The sequence below is a fragment of the Homo sapiens genome, chromosome 10, assembly GCF_000001405.40.
Source record: "Homo sapiens chromosome 10, GRCh38.p14 Primary Assembly".
Lineage (NCBI taxonomy): Eukaryota > Metazoa > Chordata > Mammalia > Primates > Hominidae > Homo > Homo sapiens.
In genome coordinates, this window is record NC_000010.11 from 65,676,123 (window position 1) to 65,696,374 (window position 20,252).

The 20,252-nt window shown below is 31.7% G+C and overlaps 1 long non-coding RNA gene across 1 annotated transcript in view; it reads left to right on the forward strand.

Moving 5' to 3' along the window:
* Positions 1–20,252, forward strand: part of LINC01515 (long intergenic non-protein coding RNA 1515) — a 195,117-nt gene that overhangs the window by 104,698 nt on the left and 70,167 nt on the right. Inside the window, exon 4 of the long non-coding RNA NR_120647.1 lies at positions 13,381–13,489. This is a non-coding gene — a long non-coding RNA (long intergenic non-protein coding RNA 1515). The remainder of the gene's footprint in view (positions 1–13,380; positions 13,490–20,252) is intronic.

Sequence of the window (20,252 nt, forward strand, 5' to 3'; positions counted from 1 at the left end):
CCTCTCAGGCTAAATTCAATAACCCTTGCTCTAGCTCCATTATCACCATATGTATGTATTTATCAGAAAAATTTCAAACTTTCTTGCCATTTAAAATGGTGGACAGAGGCAATATCTTTAGTTTTGGAATGTCGAGAATCTTTAACGAGGTATGGAGAATTGTAGATGCTTAGTAAGCAGTCATAATAATAATAACATGGGTCATTTGTGTATCTCTTTGGTGAAATACATAATCAACTATTTTGCCCATTTTTAAATTTTTTCTTCTCTATTGAATGGTGAAAATTTTTGTGTATTCTGGATACAACTTATTTACCAGATATACGATTGGAAAATATTTTCTCCTAGTTTTTCACTCATATTTTCATTTTCATAATGATGTCATTCGAGATGCAGAAGTTTCAAATTTTGGTATAGTGCAGTTTATCAATTTTTGTCCTATAAGAATTATTATTTTGGTATTACATATAAGAATTATTTGCCTTATCCAAGGCCAAAAAATTTATTTCTCTCTTTTTTCCAGATGCTTTTGTTTGTTTGTTTTTATGGTTATAGCTCTTATATTTAGGTCTTTGATCCACTTTTAATAAATTTTCTATATAATGTTAGGTAGAGGTGCAAGGTTCCCCCCTTTTTTCTAATAAAAAATATTTCAATGGGGATATATAATTTTTCCAGCAGCATTTGTGAAATGACTATTCTTTTCCTATTGAATTGTCTTTGCACTTTCGTCAAAAGTCAGTTGACCATAAATATAAAGTTGATTTCTGGACTTTTAATTCTGTTCATAATCTATACTCTTCTCTTAGTGTCAATGCCAAATGGCATTGATTACTATGGATTTATTGTTCTTACTTCTTCTTCTCATTTTATGTATCATGAGTATCATTTCAAGTCAATGTTCATGCTTTTGAATAATTTAAGGAATCTTCCTCATACTTTGTAATAATAAACATAATTAATGAATAATGCTTTTCAACTGGTCCCTTATGGATTCATAAAGATTGCCTCCTATGCTGTATTATAAAAGCTTTGTTTGGCTATTCACATGTAATCTATAAATTATTTGGAATGAATTTTTGTAGTATAAATGGGAGGTACAATAATTTTCATATCAGTACTTAAATGCCTCTGCATAAATTACTCGAAAAGACTATAGGTTACTCACTGTTCTGTAGTGCAATCTATGCCATAAATCTATTTTTTTAGACCTTCTTAAAGATTTTCATTAAATTTTTATACTTTTATTTTTTCTACTCAAGTACACCTTTGTCAAATTTATTACTATGTACTTGATATTTTTCATATACTGTAAATTATATCTTTTTCTTTGTAGTGTGTTTCTGAATGTTGTACTAGAAACCAGGAGGTTTGCTCAACTTTCCAATTAATTCTAAAAAATTAATGTTTAGAGTCTATTGAATTTTTAAACACACACACAAAATCCTATTGTCTATAAACATTTAGAGATTTTCTATTTGCAATATTTATACTTTAATTTATTTTAGTTCTTTACAGCATTTTCCAATATTGAATAGAAGTAGTAATTTTGAGTCTTTCTTTTGTCCCTATTTGTACAGAGAAAATATTTTAATGTTTCACTTTCAGTATGATGATTCTAAAATTTTTTGTTTTGTTATGTTTTTGCTTCTCTGTTTATTGTTGAAAAAAATCTTTGTTTAATTAAGTAAGCTCCACTCTATTTGTATAGTAACACAAATTTTATAAGATAATTTTTTCTAAAACTACTGAGATACTCAAATGATTTTTCTTCTTTAGCTTGTTAATGGGATGCAACATGTTGATTGGCTTTTTTAGGATTGACCTTGGTAATGTTGAATTCTCTTTCTATATTGGTTCATTATGTTTACTCATATTTTATTTAGAATTTTGTATCTGGTATCTTTTAGTTTATCTGTAATTTTCTTTGCCTGTACTGATGTTCTCAGTTTTAATATCAAAGTTATAATTACCATTTAAATTGATTTAAGGGGTGTTTCCTCATTCCAGTCTCTGGAATAATTTATTTAAGATTTGAAATATGGTTTCTTCAAATATTTGGTAAGTTTTCCCAATGAAAACATTAAGTCACAAAATTTTCACAATGGTAAAATATAAAATTACTAATTTCTTTTCTGTATTAAATATATAATTACATAAGTTTTCTATATTGCTTGTTTTATATGTGTTGTTAAAAGCTTTGTCAATTTTATTTAGTTTTTCATTTTAGCTGAAATAAATTCGTTCACAATATCTTATTGTCTTATTTTCTGCTGGGCCTAAAGTGAATCAATAAAATTTTCTTATTCATTCCTGATATCAGTGATAAGATTTCTCTTTCTCTTTTTCTTTTTCTCTGTCTCATTAGTCTTGCCAGAGTTTTATCAATTTTACTGGTCTTTTCAAAAAATTAATAGTTTACTTTGTTGATCCTCTCTTTTGTATTTTTATTTTGCTTTTTATTTATTTATGCTTTATTCTTTATTATTTGTACATTTTTACTTACTTTGGATCCTTTTATTTTTATTTTCTTTTTATTGAACTTTGCCTAACTTCTTGGGGTGGATATTTGACTCATTAATCTTCAATGTTTCTTCTTTTGTAATATACTCACTTAACAAAGTTCTTCAAGAAATTGTTTTTCTGTATCTTACAAACAATGTATGGATTGTTTTCATTGTCATTTACTTCAAATATTTATTTTTTTGCAGCTTCTTTGAAATGTGTATTATTTAGAATTGTATTTTTTAGATTTTAATTATTTGGAGATTTCTTAGTTTTATTTTTTATTCATTTTTAATGCAGTTGTACTGCAGTTAGAGAGTATATTCTGTATGATTTCAGTGCTTAACCATATGTTGAGGTTTGGTTTATAGACCTGCAATTAGTCACTTTTTATCAGTGGCCCATATGTGCTTGAAGAAAACATATTCTGCAAATTTTGGTTTTACTCAAATCTTCCTTGCCCTTTCTTATTTTTTTCAACTTTTTCTTCTGTAACTGGAATGCACAGTTACGTAAGTTTCAATTCTCCTTCAATGATTGTTAATATGGCTACTTCTTTCTGGTTTCTCTTTATCTTTGTTTCATATGATTTGAAGCCATATATTGGATGCATATATATTTTGATTTGATGTATTTTCTTGGTACTTTATAAATTAAACTTTTTATTCTTGTGAAAAAGCCTCTTTTATCTCTTAAAATGCTTTTTAATCTTTCTTTCTGAAAGGAAAACAAAATCTGAAATTGATCTCCATGTGCAAAACTAAGTCACACCATCATCTCTGTAGGTAACTTTTCTCCTCTACTTTATATGCTATTTTATTGACAATGACAGCATTCCACATTCATTATTTTTCTTTATATATATATATGTGTGTGTGTTTTTGTTTTTTTTTTTTTTGAGACAGGGTCTCACTCTGTCACCCAGGCTGGAGTGCAGTGGTGCAATCATAGATCACTGTAACCTTGAATTCTTGGCCACAAATAATCTTCTGCCTTGGCCTCCAAAAGCACTAGAATTACAGGCATGAGCCACCATGTCTGGCCACAGTCCTTTTTGTTGTTGTTGTTCCTTCTCACTTATGGCACTGAGTGGTAAGCTTTCTATCTTCTCTAACAAAACTATTACAACACAGCAAGCATACATGGCAAAAGGACCATAGAATCTCATGATTTTACTCATTCCTATGATTAGAACTTATATAAGCTAATGGGAAGCTAAGAAGTAATTTGTAATAGTAAGTAATTTGTCTCTTGTGGATTAGCAGTCTAAATTATATTTTGTACTATGATCTCCTGGTGATAGTTTTAAAAAATCCGTATGTTCACCAAGGAATATGTTATTTGGAATGTATTCTGTCTTTCTCCTAGCTCATCAGAAATACAGGGCATTGTCTAAAATTCCTGTGATGGTTCTTGTCATTAATGAGACTTGTCTATGGGTATCCCTAATAATGTTTGTGTTGATTAAATTATCTGGCCTGATTGTTTAACCTAATGAGAAAAGCTACTTTTTAAAATGCGACTAGACTTCATATTTTAAAAGAGTCCCAGCCAGTAAAAGTTTCCCTAACTGGAAAATAAATATGTATCATTTTTATTGGAAAAAGTAAGTTAAAAAATATGAAATGCAGAGACACTGCCCAAATATTGTCAAGGCTTCACGGGACAGAAACAATCTCTAGCTTCACCCACAATTTAATTATTCTATGCCCAATTGACTTTTTATTTTTCTTCTCCCCAACTCTATCAACATTTTTTAAGATATGAAATGAACAGAGTTAGTGGGACTAATACTGAATTTCTGTGACTTGGCATTTAGCAATCATGACTGTGTTTGCTTCACTGATTTTAAGTAATCTTAATATATATAAATCAGAATGTACACCTGACATGAATCTAAAGATTTGTTAGGAAACCTGCAGAGAGGTCCTTATTGAATCTAAGAATTCATGGCAAGTGGAAAACATACATTCTGAAAGCAGAAAATAGCCTATTCAGGTTGAATTAATCTTGTCACTAACTTATTAGACCAGTTTCCTTAAAGTAATACGAAATATGAAATAGCAAATCTTGGGAATTTTTAAACAATTTTTTGTTATAGCAATGAGTCATGTTGGTTGAAAAATACATGGAAAAAATCACTATAAAAATCAGAGGCAGGTACTGCTGTTCACTTTTTGGTATTTTTTATTTTAATCTTAGTTTTATTACTGTGTATATATGCATAATTTTAACCATCTCTAAAACTTTAAATCTTTTATAACAATGTCTCATTTATTACATTTATCATCAAAATATATATATATATATATTTTTTTTTTTTTTTTTTGAGATGGAGTCTCGCTCTGTCACCCAGGCTAGAGTGCAGTACCGCAATCTCGGCTCGCTGCAAGCTCTGACTCCCAGGTTCACACCATTCTCCTGCCTCAGCCTCCCAAGTAGCTGGCACTACAGGCGCCCACCACCATGCCTGGCTAATTTTTTATATTTTTAGTAGAGAAGGGGTTTCGCCGTGTTAGCCAGAATGGTCTTGATCTCCTGACCTCATGATCTGCCCACCTCGGCCTCCCAAAGTGCTGGGATTACAGGCGTGAGCCACCGCGACTGGCCTAACATATTTTTAAAACCTGCAGAATGTTTGTATTACTTTTGTCATAGTACATAACATTTAAATGGATTTCTTGTTTGTGTATGTGTGTATATTCATTCACAACACTGATAGTTTTTCTGAATATTTCCTTTGGATTTTATTCTTTTCTCATTCAACTAAATAAGAACCTGCACCATCTTTTTCTAGTGTAAAAATTACAATATCTGAAGTGAAACTACTAGAATAAATCTTGTGACAATTCTTAAGGATTATCTTTTAGTTGGTATGGTTTCCAAAAAAGATTGTACTAAGTTTTACTCCCAGTGGAAATATTTAAAGGCAATACTTCCATTTCTTTTTTACAGAATAGAATCCAATTATTCTTTTTCATCCCATTGTTGTATACAGACTTTATTTCATTTACTTGTAGATCAAAGGTTTTTTGGTTTCCTATCTTTTGGACACTGTTTTGGGTACTAGAGAGAGCATGAGTAGCTAAGTTTCTGAAATTTACAGTGAATGGAAAAAGATAGGCATAAATGAAACAATCACAAAAATAAATGTAACAGCTACAGTTACAGTTGTAAAACTGTGGTCAGTGCTATGGAGGAGTGTACAAGGTGATATGAGAGATCATAATAGGGAAGTTAAATCTCTGGTTCATGTAAAACTGCCATGGACACACTCTCAGTGAACTTAGAGCTAAAAGAGGAGTAATAGCCATTAGACACAAAAAAGCAGATAGAAAATGTTCTGGGAAGAATAATGTCTATAAAGGATCTGGGGTAGGAGAGAGCATTGTTCTTTGGTGATATGAGATTGGAGGGATAGGTGAATATAAAACATAAGCATAAAAACTAGATAGTATTTAAATCCTTTCCTTGGATCTTAATGAGAAGCACTAAAGAGATTTAAATAGAGAATGACAACATGTAATTTGGCTTTTAAACAAAGTTATGTTTTTTAATGCAGAAAATAAATTGGAATGAAGCCCATGTGAATGCATGGAGACAAGGTGAAAAGGTAGATGAGAAAAAAGTTGGAAATATTTGCAGGTACATTTGACAGGACCAGGAGATGTCTTGGGCATTCATGATGATGGAAGAGTGGTCAATAATGACTCTATTTTCTAGCTTGTATCATGAGATGAATGGAGACCCGTAGAAGAATAAGTTTTGTGAGTGACTGGGTCATGTAATATATTTTGGATTTGTTAAATGTGAACTACTTTTAAGAAACTGTGGGGAAAAACTTCGTTTTGTTTACATCCATGAATCATTTGAAGCACGAAAAATAATTCTCAGCTGAAGATACAAATATGAGGGCCCTGGGTGTATAACTGAAGGCACGAGTATAAATGGGATTATTTAGGGAGGGCTTAAAAGTGGATAGAGAGTAAATTCACAGACTATAGGTACAAAATAATCACCAATGACAATATATTATGCAGCTTAAGACCAATTGTATGTATTTTCCTGACAATGTCTTTTAGAGCCTGTGACTAGTTTTCTCCTGAAGATGTGGTGATCTTCTTATCAATTTTTAAGAGTACTTAAATGTTTTAACAATTATATTTAACTCAAAATTAGTTTCCAACTTGTTTTCCTTTAATTATAATTTAAAGTGTATATTTTATGTGTACGAATATTAAAAATTTATGAAGTCATATCTATTGCCTTTGTCTCTTATTACTTTACCAATGCTTACAAAAACTTTCCTCATTAATGCTTATATAAATCTTCTTTTTTATTGCAAATTTTTCCATTCTTCTGGTTTGTAAAATGCCTAAAGTAAAATGTGTATCTGAATTAATTAATCGTTAAATATCTTTTCAATTTTCTCAACCCAATATATTGGACAATTCACCTCTTACTCCCAGAGTTTTATCTCTACATATTATTCCTATGAAGCTTTTACACATGCTGAGACTAAATGGTCTGTTCTATGTCATTGATTCTATTTGCCTAGTTGTCTATTTACCTTGTAGTTTTGAGGTAATAAATGGTCCTTTAAACTGTGTGGTGTTTGTGTGTGTGTATTTAAATTTTCTCAATGCTATTTTTAGTAAAGGTAGATTAAATGTGACAAATAACTACCCAAATGGAAACAGTTGAGGTAACTTGATGAATTGACTATAGTTATAGTCTTTTAACATACCTATTAATTATTTATAGAAAGCAAAATTAAAATAAGCTAGAAAGAGAAGATTAAATAAAGAGAGTAACATACTGGAAAATATTTACCAGATATTTAACATTATCATAAATAATTTAAGTATTCTGAAAACCAAGCAGAGGGAGCTTTGTTTATCTGAAATTTTTGGAGAACATTTATGAACTGGATTTATAAATAGATTTGCTAACTGGTACTTTGTAACTTCTAAAAAGCAGACTAGTTTATTTTCCAAAATAAGTGAGTTCTTTAAATGACTCACGACCAATTTAGACTTATATTGAAGAAACATCTAGAAACAAATACTTTCCAATTTTTTAAAAATTGACTTTGGTGTCATGAACTTAATGTTTATTAATTAATATTCAGAATATTCTAACATTTTAAAGATGACAATACAATTTACTTTATATACAGCAGTTTGGTAAAGAAAACAACAAATAATCAATTTAAGTGAAATAACCCATTTTGAATATGTATTTTAATTAACTCGTCAGAGATGTTAATTGGCTTTCTATTATTTTGGACAGTTGTGGTGCTTTGATAAGCTCAGTTTTTCTTCTTTACTTTTATCTACTTTAGCATGAATTAATTTTTATATTTTATAGATATGTAAAATTTTACATACTTTATTAATTTTAATAAAGTAAAACATAATTCATGCTAAGAAAATTAAGTTTATAAAACAACTGACAATGAACAGTTTAGCATAGCCTTCAATCTCACTCAGACTATATTCTCTCTTTATTTCATTTTAAAATCCAGTTATTTCAAACTGGAACTGTGTTGTAGAAGAGAGCTTTAATATTACTTTTTATTGTTTCTTAATATTTCTAACTATTCTATCTTCAAGATATCCAAAGAGAAAGGAATTTCCACAGTGTATAATTATTTATTTTCATGTTTAAAATCTTAGAAATCACTCCCCAATATTATATATAAAAGAAATACTATTAGAAAGGAATATTTTTAAAACTTGTTTCTAAAGAGTGAAGTTTTGCTTCACTCTTTAATGATGGACAAGAACGCCTTCCCTAAACTTGTAATGTGGCTGCCGCTACTTATAGAAGCCTGGTGATAATTGCCCTATGGGCCTTTTATGTAAGATGAATCAAAACTTGCAAATATATAATTGCTGAATTAAACACTCACCTTAAAGGAACTGTTCCAGAATATAACAGAAAATCAGTCAATCTCTTTATGCAGGTTCCTTGATTTTAGCAATTTTCAAACAGATATGATTAGGTTGGTGCAAAAGTAGTTGCAATTTTTGCCACTGAAAGTAATGGTCAAAATCGCAGTCACTTTTGCACCAACCTAACAGAAGTTTTAATTGGCGTGCAATCACTTGTAGAGTGCCTTGAATAATATAAGCATCCATACTCTAGCCTGAATCTCTTAAATTGGAACCTGTGAAAATGGAACCAGGTGACTATAATTTCTTTAAAACACTGTGGAAAGATGATCTTAATGCAAGGCAGTGATTAACACAAGAAAATGAGCAGTAGAATACAACTAAGAATTCATTACTTACTACTATTTTACAACTCTAATGGAAAATGACCTACGATTTTATTAGAAAGGTTTAGAAGAAACTAAGCAGAAGGATTGTGAAGAAATCAGCATGATAGAAAGAGCTCTGGACTGAAGGTTAGAGGACATCAGGCATTTTTTTCCTTGGAATCTCTGAGTCTCACTTGGACTCTGTACCCCAGTCAATAAACACAAGAGTGTACCGGGTAATAGTAACAGACATGTGCTTGCTTTCTGACAACCACTTTTCCTTTCATTTTCCCATTATTTCTATACCTCTTTTTAATAATCCATATGGTCCTGGATTAGTTGACCCCATTACCAGGCCAAAGGACTCAGACTTTCAAAGTCAATCAGTATATCCCATCTCTCCTGTCTACAGGTATGAGTGCAATGCTCAAATCAAATGATTTTGAGTAAATATTAAAATTTTGCTCATTTGAAAAGGACATGTAGGCACCATTCATACCTGATAGGCCCCCACACCAGTACTAAAAACCAAAATATTAACTCTGACTTTTGATTGGAATTATTCAACACTTAAAGTCTAATACTCTGAGGCTGTAAATAATTCTTCCTACATCCTATATGCCTCTGATTTTATTCAAAACTGTCTTTTGTTTTGCCTGGGATGTCAAGCCAACCGTAAGTATGCCCCAGGATATCCCTAAACTAATGATGGCCTGGTATTGGGGTAGCAAAGGATAGTCTCAAGCTCTGACCAATTCGTTGGGGCAGTTTGTACTCCTGAGTTGCCATTGGATCAGGCTGAGGCTAGTCTTCAACTGAGACCACACTTTTGCTTATGTCTTTTCTTTGGCCTGTCCTATTATCTCACTTCCCCCTTCCAGAAAACTCTTCCTCCATAAATCATGTGAGTAAGAATGTACCTCTCAGCTTCTAGGTAACCCTTGTTCCCTGCCTTTTCCCCTGGTGCTGCAGTCTCTGCCTCAGGAACATGCCAACTTCCCCAATCTCTTGAGAACGGGAACCATCCCTTGCACTTAACATTTTCTCTTTAAAGGCCTGGAGTTCAGATGCTTGCAACTTTTTTTTTTTTTTTTTTTTTGAGACAGAGTCTTGCTCTGTCGGCCAGGTTGGAGTGCAGTAGGATGATCTCAGCTCACTGCAACCTCCGTCTCCCAGACTCAAGTAAATCTCCTGCCTCAGCCTCCCGAGTAGCTTGTATTACAGGGATGTGCCACCACACCCAGATAATTTTTGTATTTTTAGTAGAGATGGGGTTTCACCATGTTAGCCAGGATGGTCTCGATCTCCTGACCTCAGGTAATCTGCCTGTCTTGGCCTCCCAAAGTGCTGGGATTACAGGCGTGGGCCGCCGTGTCTGGCCTGATGCAACTTACTCTCCACCACCATGCTTTTCCTTGTCTCTCTAAAAAGCTTTGTTTCTGGATTCTGTCATTAGTTGATATTTGTTTTGCGTCATGATTTTGGAAGATGGGGGAATCGACTAAGATAGGCTTACTTAAATGGAACAGATTTTTTGGAACATTTCAAATACCAGCATGTTCTCGTGAAAAATTTCTGTGTCTGTAATATAAAAATGATTGCAGATATAGAGATAAAGCCATAGAACTTTACATATGCATAAATTGCTAGGTCTGTATCTCTATTAATTTATCCATTTTCCAACTATAGATTGTATGTGAGGGGTGGTGTTTTCCTTCTACTTGTCTTTCTAAGGACTATATATTAGGATCATGCCAAAGGCATGCCTGTCTCCTGGATGACACCTTTGTTTAAATTACAATGCCTCTTCTTATAGTTAGAAAGTACCGAGAGCAATTACCCTTCTGGGTGTCTTCTTTTTTTATTTTCTCATTTTGTTTGTGTTCTTTTCTCTGCAAAACATAAGGATACAGATCTATCACATAACATCATACTGTGTAGCTTCAGCTGCTCTTTCTTCTGCTTTTACTTTATTTGAATCTAGGATCTAAGATATCTCTAGGAAGTAAATTTAAGATCAATATAAGCAATAGCTAGCCAGTACAGTTTTTCCAAATTGAAACAATTTGTGTGAGGGAGTAGATAGGAAAATAAGCCAACATTCGAGTGAAATACAATAAAAGAGGTTAAGTCATTGACCGCAGTGGAATAGATAACCCTAATGTTTCTTCCTACTCTGAGATTTTTTTATTTTCTAAAATAATAGAGAGTAAAATAGTGAAGATTCCAAGTGTTAAAGCATTGCTCTTTTCAAGTTAAATAAAGTCTAAACATTTTCATCTTTTATGTCCCTGACAAAGGAGAGGATTTGTTGACATTTAAGTTTGACCCAAATTTCTTACATCTTTTTTTATTTCTCTTGTGTTAATTTTTTTTTTTTTAGATCACATCAGTTTCAAGAGGAACCCAGAATGTTTCTGATTACTTTTTACTCAAGAAATGATGTTTTGAAAGAGGTAGTCAGGGTCTTGAAAGATCTTATAGGCCTTTTTACTAATCCTGTTGGAGTGTTTTTTTAAGACCAAAATTTACATTTCATCAGTCTTCCTTGAAATAAAATTATTATTGTTGCTAAAGTAACATTTTAATATCTGTAAAAAATCTACATTCCATATGGTTAGCTCATCCATTTTTGTTTAAGCCATAGTTATTTCAACAATTATTTTTCTTTTTTACAATTAGCAAAAGAGAGACAGATTAAGTAACTTTGCGAAAAGCCACAGTAAGGTGATAATAAACTAAAGAATCAAATTGACCACTTTCAGTTACCAATCATGTTACTCTCTAGGATTAAAATGTGAAAACTAAAATTCATGTAAGTTTTAAATTAGGCAAAAGAAACATATAGTGTATTTCTACATATAGACAGGTAACATTTAATTATTTTGTGGTGTGAAATTTCTGAAGTTTAATTTCCACTTTTCACTATATTGGCCCAGTATTTTTTTCTATAAAGGAATATATAGAATACCTAAGAAAATTGTACCCTCAAGATGTATCAAACCAAAGAATTTTTAAAAGAAAAATCCTATAGGCATAACATTACTTATAGCCAAAGTATTATAGTAATAGAAATAACACGAGATATTTTTCATTATTTTATAGCTTAAAAAGTTATTTTACTTGTTCCATAAAACGACCTGTGATATAGGTATTCTTTTTCTTCTCACCTTTTATAGATTTGAATAAAAAAAAAACCTTAGACTGGTTAAGAGACTGGCATGAAATCACATAAAATCACTCTCAAATTCAAGTTTTCTCATTTATCTGTGCATTCACCCATCGTCAGGATTCATATACTGCAAGACTGTAATATGTATCTCACTAAGAAAGATGGCCGAAGATCTTAGTGTGACTTAGATAAGAACAATAATTAGTAGGCAAAATTTGTAATACTAGTATTTTCACAATAGAATGAAGAGGGTATTACATGCATGGTCAATATCAGAGGGCTCTAGATCAATAAAGAGGTATTGTATGAAGGGTCTCTTTGAATAAGAACTAATAAAATAGTCAGTGTGATTAAAAATGAAAACATTAATAGATCTTTTTAATAGCAGCAACTACTAACTGGGGAAAATTAAACATTTGATAATAACAAAATAATTTTTAAAACACCTATAAGTTAATCTTCAAAGACATGTCCAAAAACCATTTAAAGAAAAATATGAAAGATTAATGATAAATGTAAGATGTTAATAAATGGTAAGACCTGCCTTCTTTTTGGTGGCAATGTCTCAATATAAAAAATATGCCAAGTCTCCCTAAATGTATTACTTAAATTTAAACAATCAAAATCTCAACCAGATTTCTCAAGAATTTGACAAATTAAATTTTATCATATATGTAAAATATTTACGTAAATCTGAACAATTGGTGGGAAATGAAACAATGGTCACAGGGTCTTATAAGAAAACTAAACACACTATAAGCATTGCAAAAATACAAAAGATGTATAAATGAAGTAGAACTCTTCCTTATATTTTCACGAAGTTCACCTTTAATTGATTAAAGAACAAAGTATACAAAAATAGAAACTTATACATACGAGAAATTGATAACATTGCAGTGCTGGAAGTTTCTGTAACATAAAAATACAGTCAACCCTCCGTATCCATGGGTTCTGCATTCATACATTTAACCAACAATGGATTGTAAATTTTTTTAAAAAAATGGATGGTCACATCTGTACTGAACATGTACAGACTTTTTTTGGTCATTATTCCCTAAATAATACAATGTAACAACAATTTACATTGCATTTACCTTGTCTTGGATATTATATGTAATCTAGAAATGATTTAAAGAATAAGAGAGGAGGAGGAGTACAAGACCAGCCTGAGCAACATAGCAAGATCCCAACTATTTAAAAAAATTAAAATTAAATAAAAAATAAATTAGCTGGGTGTGGTAGCATGCACCTGCAGTCCTAGCTACTCAATAGGCTGAGGTGCTGGGATTGTCTAAGCTCAGGCGTTGGAGGCTGCTTGAGCCATTATTGTGCCACTGCACTCCAATCTAGGGGACAGAGCAAGAACCTTTCCCTAAAGGAAAAATGGGAAAAAAAAATTATTACCTTTTAACTGTGGCTAACTTGTATGTTCATTTAGTTTAGCAAAAGCTGGAGGTGCCTTGACATTTGCAGTACACTGAAACAGTGGCTGGCTTGAAAAATCCCAAAACGATTTTCTGCAGGAGAGCCCTTTTGACTAATATGAGGTAAGTTTCTACAAAATAATAATGTGTAAAATCATCACCTTCTACTCTAAAATTTCTGGGTTTATTTTTTGTCAGTTTGTTTATTTCAAGGAAGATAAAGATATTTACAATGAGCTGGAATACTATGAGTTTCTATTCTGAATCATTTAATATATGAAAAAATGTTGAGCAGGTTAATTTTAAAAAATCATTTTATACTTAGGCATTTAGCATCTGTTTTATTTCTTAGAGTCTTATAAGACTGACAAAATATCTTCTGGTCCATTCAACATACAAGCATTCTGTAGAGTCTAATAATACAAGTTCCTGATTCAACTCCAACCATGTCTATGGTAGCTGCACATTCCATTCACACTGATTAGAGTCCAAAACTAAGTATAATCCCTAATAATTGCTTACCAATTCAGTTTGCTTTCTGACTCAGTGTTCTAGTGAGACTCTTATTAAAAGGTCAGCAGCTTGTCTCCAACTCATTTTGTTAAATATGAAGAAAAAAGCAGCTTTATATTATTTAGCAATGACAAGGCACATTATCACAAAGTGAAAGGTGTTAATATCTATTCTTACTTAAAATGAATTGCAGAACTTCTTCAACTTTTTTCAGAGCTTTAATTAGCATTTTAATAAGGGTATCTTATAAGACAGTAACATGGTAAAGAAGACAATGGCTAGCAAGAATTTCCATTATTAAAGAACACTTTTAGTCATTTAAAAGGGAGAAAAGGCTTAAAATAGTTTGTTAAATACTAATTTTATACATTTGAAATCAGTGGTAACAGCTTTTCAGTCACAGCAGACCAAGATGTCATTGATGATGTGGATTCTTATTAACAAGCTAACTAAATTTGAATGAAAGATGAATAGGGTTTTATTTATGTGCCAATTTAATTCCTGCAGAATCTTATTTCTATTTTCATAATAAAATCAACCAACCACTCCAGCTAGCACTGGCTAGGCAGAGTTTAATGGTTAAGATTTACATTTTGCCTCATCCACTTATTGGTTATTAATATAAGTATCAACTTACTATCATTACTGAACATCAGTTTTTTATATGTAAAATAGGATAATTAAATACACTATAGTACCTGTCTTATAGGGGTACAGTGAACACTAAACAATCTATATAATATAGTTTACACAGGACTGATTATGTAGTCAGTGATGATAAAAATAGAAGTTATTAGCATTGCTATCCTGTAAGTGGGCCCTTTTTCAAAATTTTTCTTCAGGCTTTTAATGAAATAGAAACAGTTTCCTTGAATGTTCCCCTACTCTCCACACAGGTAAACGCCACTCATCATTTTATATCCAGCTCAAATGTTTATAGTGTCTCTAATGAATACTCTTCTGATCACTTCCATAAGTTTTTATTATCAATATCATATTCTTTGCACTTGAAAAAGCCTTTCCTATTTATTAAAATGATTTTTCTATTACCCCTATATTACATATATATTTCAAATTTTTCATTTCTTCTTTTGAGCCTTGGTTCTTGTTGAGAATCTGATGAAAGCAGTAAAACTTCTATAAAAGTCATCTATTTTTATCTCTCTCTATATATACATACACATATTTTTCTATATATATATATATATATATATATACACACACATACACATACATATGAGATATATGTATATATACATATTTGCACCCACACAGACACACAGGATTCTTGACACCCAATTTCATAGGAGTTCATGACCTACATCAAATCATCACATCTCTGGTTCAACAAGGAGTTATTTAGGGGTTTATGAGCCCAGCTTTAAATATATTGGTGGACTATTTGGATTTCTGAAAACCTCAAGCTGGCATAAACCCAATTCTGCATGAGAAGACCCTGATTTCCTTTAGCTCCAGATTACAAGATAATGTAGATTTGATATAAAATACTTGGTAATTCAATGTGAAGTCAATTTGAGACAGGAAAAGTGAGGTTAATATAAGGTTGAAAAGACATGGGATAAGTCTTAAAAGGGCACTCATGGAATGTATCAGAAGATGAAGACAGAGCAAATGCAGATCTCATTGAGAAAAAAATGTAAGTGAGAAAAGATATATCAATACCTTGCTTGCGTTGGAGGTACAAAGAAAAAGAAGTCTACAACAGATGTGCTGAAGCTCAGAAAATGGCACTACAAAGTGTGGCACTTTGACATGCTAAGTACTTTGAACTAAAGAAGCAGCCTCAAAACGAAGATCTTTCTGAACTTGTCTTACCACCCCGTCTCTCTACCCTGTTTCTCCCCTAAAACTCTCAGAGAGGCTTTCTGTGAACTTTCCCTTATCTGACTAAGGGAAGTTCCTCCAGAAGCAATGCAATTGTTATGAACCCCTTCCCTGGAATCCACATTAACCAGAGAAGATTATCTCATGTAGCAAGAGAGGAGACTAAAGGTCTTTCTGTCCAGGATACCATATCTACAGAGGCTTTACATCCATTTTTCTGAGAGTTCATCAGACCATGTCTGTGCAAAAACCGGGACAATTCCAGTGTACACTAGGAAAAAGTTATTCAGCTTATTTCAGCTTTGCAAGAAACTTCTCATCAAAGAAACACACAGGCTTCTTGGAAATCAGTGTGGGAAAGACAATGAAGAGCCAAAGAGAGTGATGGAGAAAAGTGGTCCTATGTCTAATGCACTCATGTGGAAAATTAACTGTTCACCCATCTAGGTCATTAGGACAACTTGAGAAGACTCAGGTAAGCTTACTGATTAGGCTGCTCAAGTACAAATTCAGAAACCTCAATTTTGTTACTAGCTTTCTGCCTTTTGACCTTTTGAAAAAGTAATTTCAGATCTCATTTTCTCTGGCTCTTAAATAGAATCATACTTGTCCATAAGGCCATTTTAAGATACTCAGATGAATGATGTTACACATGTTTAAATGCAATTCTCTACTGATTTACTGGAAGACATATATTTCTTTATTTGAAAAGTGTCATATATTTTATTAGCCCTTACCATGTTAAAAAAAAAAAAAAAGTCTGAAGTAAGCTACTAATAGAATCCCCAGTTTGCCAATATGTAAACGGAATAATAGCAGTGCAAATAAAAGGATCAGAAATCAGAGTTTCAGAAATCAAATACAGTGAGTTACTCCAAAAAAAGACAGCAAATAATGACTTTGACACATTCCAACAATCTTAGAGCAAATAGAATAATGTCCACTGTATCTAATTATAATTAATAATAATAGGTAACACAATGAACAGATTATGTGCAGGTACTGTTCTAGGCATTTCGCATATATTCATTCAAGTATTCTCACAACAACCCTTTGAGGTATATAGTATTGCTCCATTTTACATTGAGGAATCTGAGACACAAATGACTAATACACTTGAGATCAATAAGTGCCAGAGCCAGGATTTGAACCTGAGAAAAACAGATTCAGAATCCAGGCTTGTACCAATTCTCTATACTACATATCAAAAATCCATGAAGTTACCTACCAGCTAACTTCAACTGTTTTAAAAATTGGTTAAAAATCTTTGTTTTTAAAAATGAGATAACATTTATTTAATTTGTATAATGTGTAAGGTGCTGAGCTTTACATTGGTTGGATGAAAAGGATTAAAAGGCAGTGTTGTTTTCTTGCTATTTTCTATATTCTAGCCATAAGAATACAACTTTAATTTCCTGGTAACATTATAAGACATAAAAGAACAAATTAGTATAGTCAGATATTTACTACTAAAATAGCTAAATTACCCAATTGCTCAAAATTTATTGATTACTCGACAATGTAGACTGGGCCTTAACTTTGTGAAACAAAAACAGCTCCATAAAGATTGCTTGTTTGTTTGTTTCTTTATGATTACTCCTTTAAACTCTACTTATTTAAATCTCACATGCATCTCAAGAAAATACTGGGAGTAACACTGCAGTTTAGAAATATTCAATAATAGCCAATATATTTTAATTGGTGATGTATTAACAAGAGATTCAAAACATATTTGACCCCAAATATTTGTAACAAATCAATATATATTTAAACTAATTTAAAGAAAGAGTATAGATTCAGATTCACAGCTCTTAGCCAGTGTCTAATCCACAGCCACAGGCCATTCCTCCTAATTAAAACTTGGCTTCATACTATGCTAAGATATGCTAATAGATTTAAAGAAGTGTTTATTTATGTGAATACATCTCAACAACTTCTTATAAATTTGTTTCCTAAATGAGTACATAAATATTATTTATTGAAATGCTTATAGGTTTTCTTCTTTAGTATTCTAATCAAAATGGGTTGTCCAAATTGTTTTCATAAGCAATACTTTCCAAATCACTTTACCAGCTGAAAGATCTGGCTTCTAGGTAAAACAATGCATTACCTTGTATCTAGTTACTCTTATGTAGAATGAAAAAGACTTTGAGAAAATCACTTCACCAAAGTTTTTAAAAGACCACAAATACCACATAACATTATTTTGCATTTCAAATGATGCCTAACTATGTTGTCTGATTTCCACTTTAAAATCCTATAAGCAGAAGAAAAATTTGTTATATTCTTTACCCAATGCCAACAAACTGCATATAGATAGACACTTGAGATTCTCTTCAACTTGCTAGAAATGAGACTTGATCAATATAATTAATCAAAATTATATGTGTATGGCTGCCAATGGCTACAATTTGTGTTTAGGATAGTACTTATGTAGTTTGGACATATTTGAAAGACTTAACATCACAATTTTTAAACAACCTTAATTGCAATGTAAGATAAGCATTGGTCTTCTTAGGATAGTATGCCATATGTTAGATTGCCACTGAAGTCTCTTTCTTAAATTACAGATTATTCCATAAAGCATAATGCACCAGAAATGACAGACTTTGATTCCAAAAGATAATTCAGCCATGATGTGAGACTACAGATTATAGGGATTGAGCTCAGTAGCATAAAGGTGAAAATCAAACAGAAAACACATCATATCTGTTTTTCTTGGATAATTTCATGTTTAGAGGAATACAAAGTTTCATATAATAAAGACTCAGTAACTATAGGTAGGCCAACCTAATAAGTCATTTAGAAGTAATACACATAAGACTGTGATTTAAATCAATAAGAGCCACTTCGTTATGTACCATGGAATACAGGTTTTATTTTAAAAAGAATAGGTAGAATAAAACCTGTGTTGTATCACAAAACAGAATAGCCACAGAATCTAAATTCCCCAAAGAGATTTCCATGGTTGAAATAAATGTTTATTTCTGCTCTGTGAACAAGGACATGTCAGAGTTTTCTACGGAGTATCTGGGGAAATGAACATATCTTTTCCCTTCTATTAGATGTTACAACTTCATGCCAGTGGAACAGACAGAGGTGCCATTTGTGGGTTTCTTCTGACAGAATGAACACCATAAAAATATTAATAAAGAAGTTTGTGCTAATTTTCTGTGATCCTTAGCTATTTCCACCATTGCAACATAATAAATCTTGATTTTTTTTTAGATTGGATATTGGACATTGGTAGCACTTCAAAGATAATACACCAATAGTCTCAATTTGCTTTTTGAATGGACATATTAAAAAGCCCTCCATTATCCTTAGTTATAAGGAGAAAAGCTACCAATTTATATAGTAGGCAAGGTTTACTTTCAAAAGGAGCTGACATATAGGGCTGCTGATTGACCTCATGCTTCTTTGCTACATGTGTTAGTTATGTTTATTTTTTTACAAGGTATTTCTACAATTATCTCAAGAGCAACTTCTTTGCTGCACTGCCAATGCAGAGTGTGATGCTGCACACAGAATTGGTGTGCACGATACATCTTTGTTAAATTCATTCTATCAGCATTCAGAATAGTTGCATGGAATTAAAACATCTGTGTCTAAGTCCAGTTATGCCACTTCAAGCTCTGCAGCATGGGGTCAGTTTTCTCATCTGCATAAAAAGGATAATGATAATGAAATAGGTTGTTATGATGGTCAAATGTGGTAATATATGAGAAAGTGCCTTGTTAACTCTAAAGTGATGGAGAAGTAAATATTATTTGGGATATGCATTTAGCTATGTAACTATTCATTTTAAATTTTACATCTAATTATATTTTGTAAAATGCTTTGCATTTGTATAAATTGTTTTTGCTATAAGCTTTCATTCATGCAAAAGAAGTCTCAAAAGCTCTAAGGTTTAATTATTTCATATTTAAGCATCACTCAACTCTACCACAATTTCACTAAGTCAGGAACTAATTATATGGATTCATTTTTGTCACCAATTATGTATGTGCAAAAAAAACGAAAAAACCCCTTTGATATTTATCGAGGTTATTTGTGATTGTAAAGGGCCCAATATTAAATGAACTGGTTTTGAAACTATAAATTTGTTCCAAAATAGTGTTAGTAAGTTCCTCACCATAAAATAAGCATGAATTGAGAGGTACAATCTCTGAAAACATTATCACAAAGAATTTTTTTGATCTCCTAAAAATTATTAGTACTGTAAGAATAAAGTCAATGATTATTCCATACCACATAATAGGGTATTCTAAAAATTGGGCAAAAACTTTACTGTACTTCTTTCTATGTTTCAGGTAAATACAATATTGCCATCTCGGTTTTTTTTTTCTTGAAACTACACAAGAAAATAGCAGGCATCTCTTATTGTGTTCAATGGAGGTATTAACTTTAGAGCTACCTGTCTTGAAGAACAGGACTTGAATTGAACTCTTCAATTAGTTGGGATTTAACTTTTGGGTTCAATATAGTACTGAAGAAATGCATTCAGGCAGAAATCCAATTTAGGTCT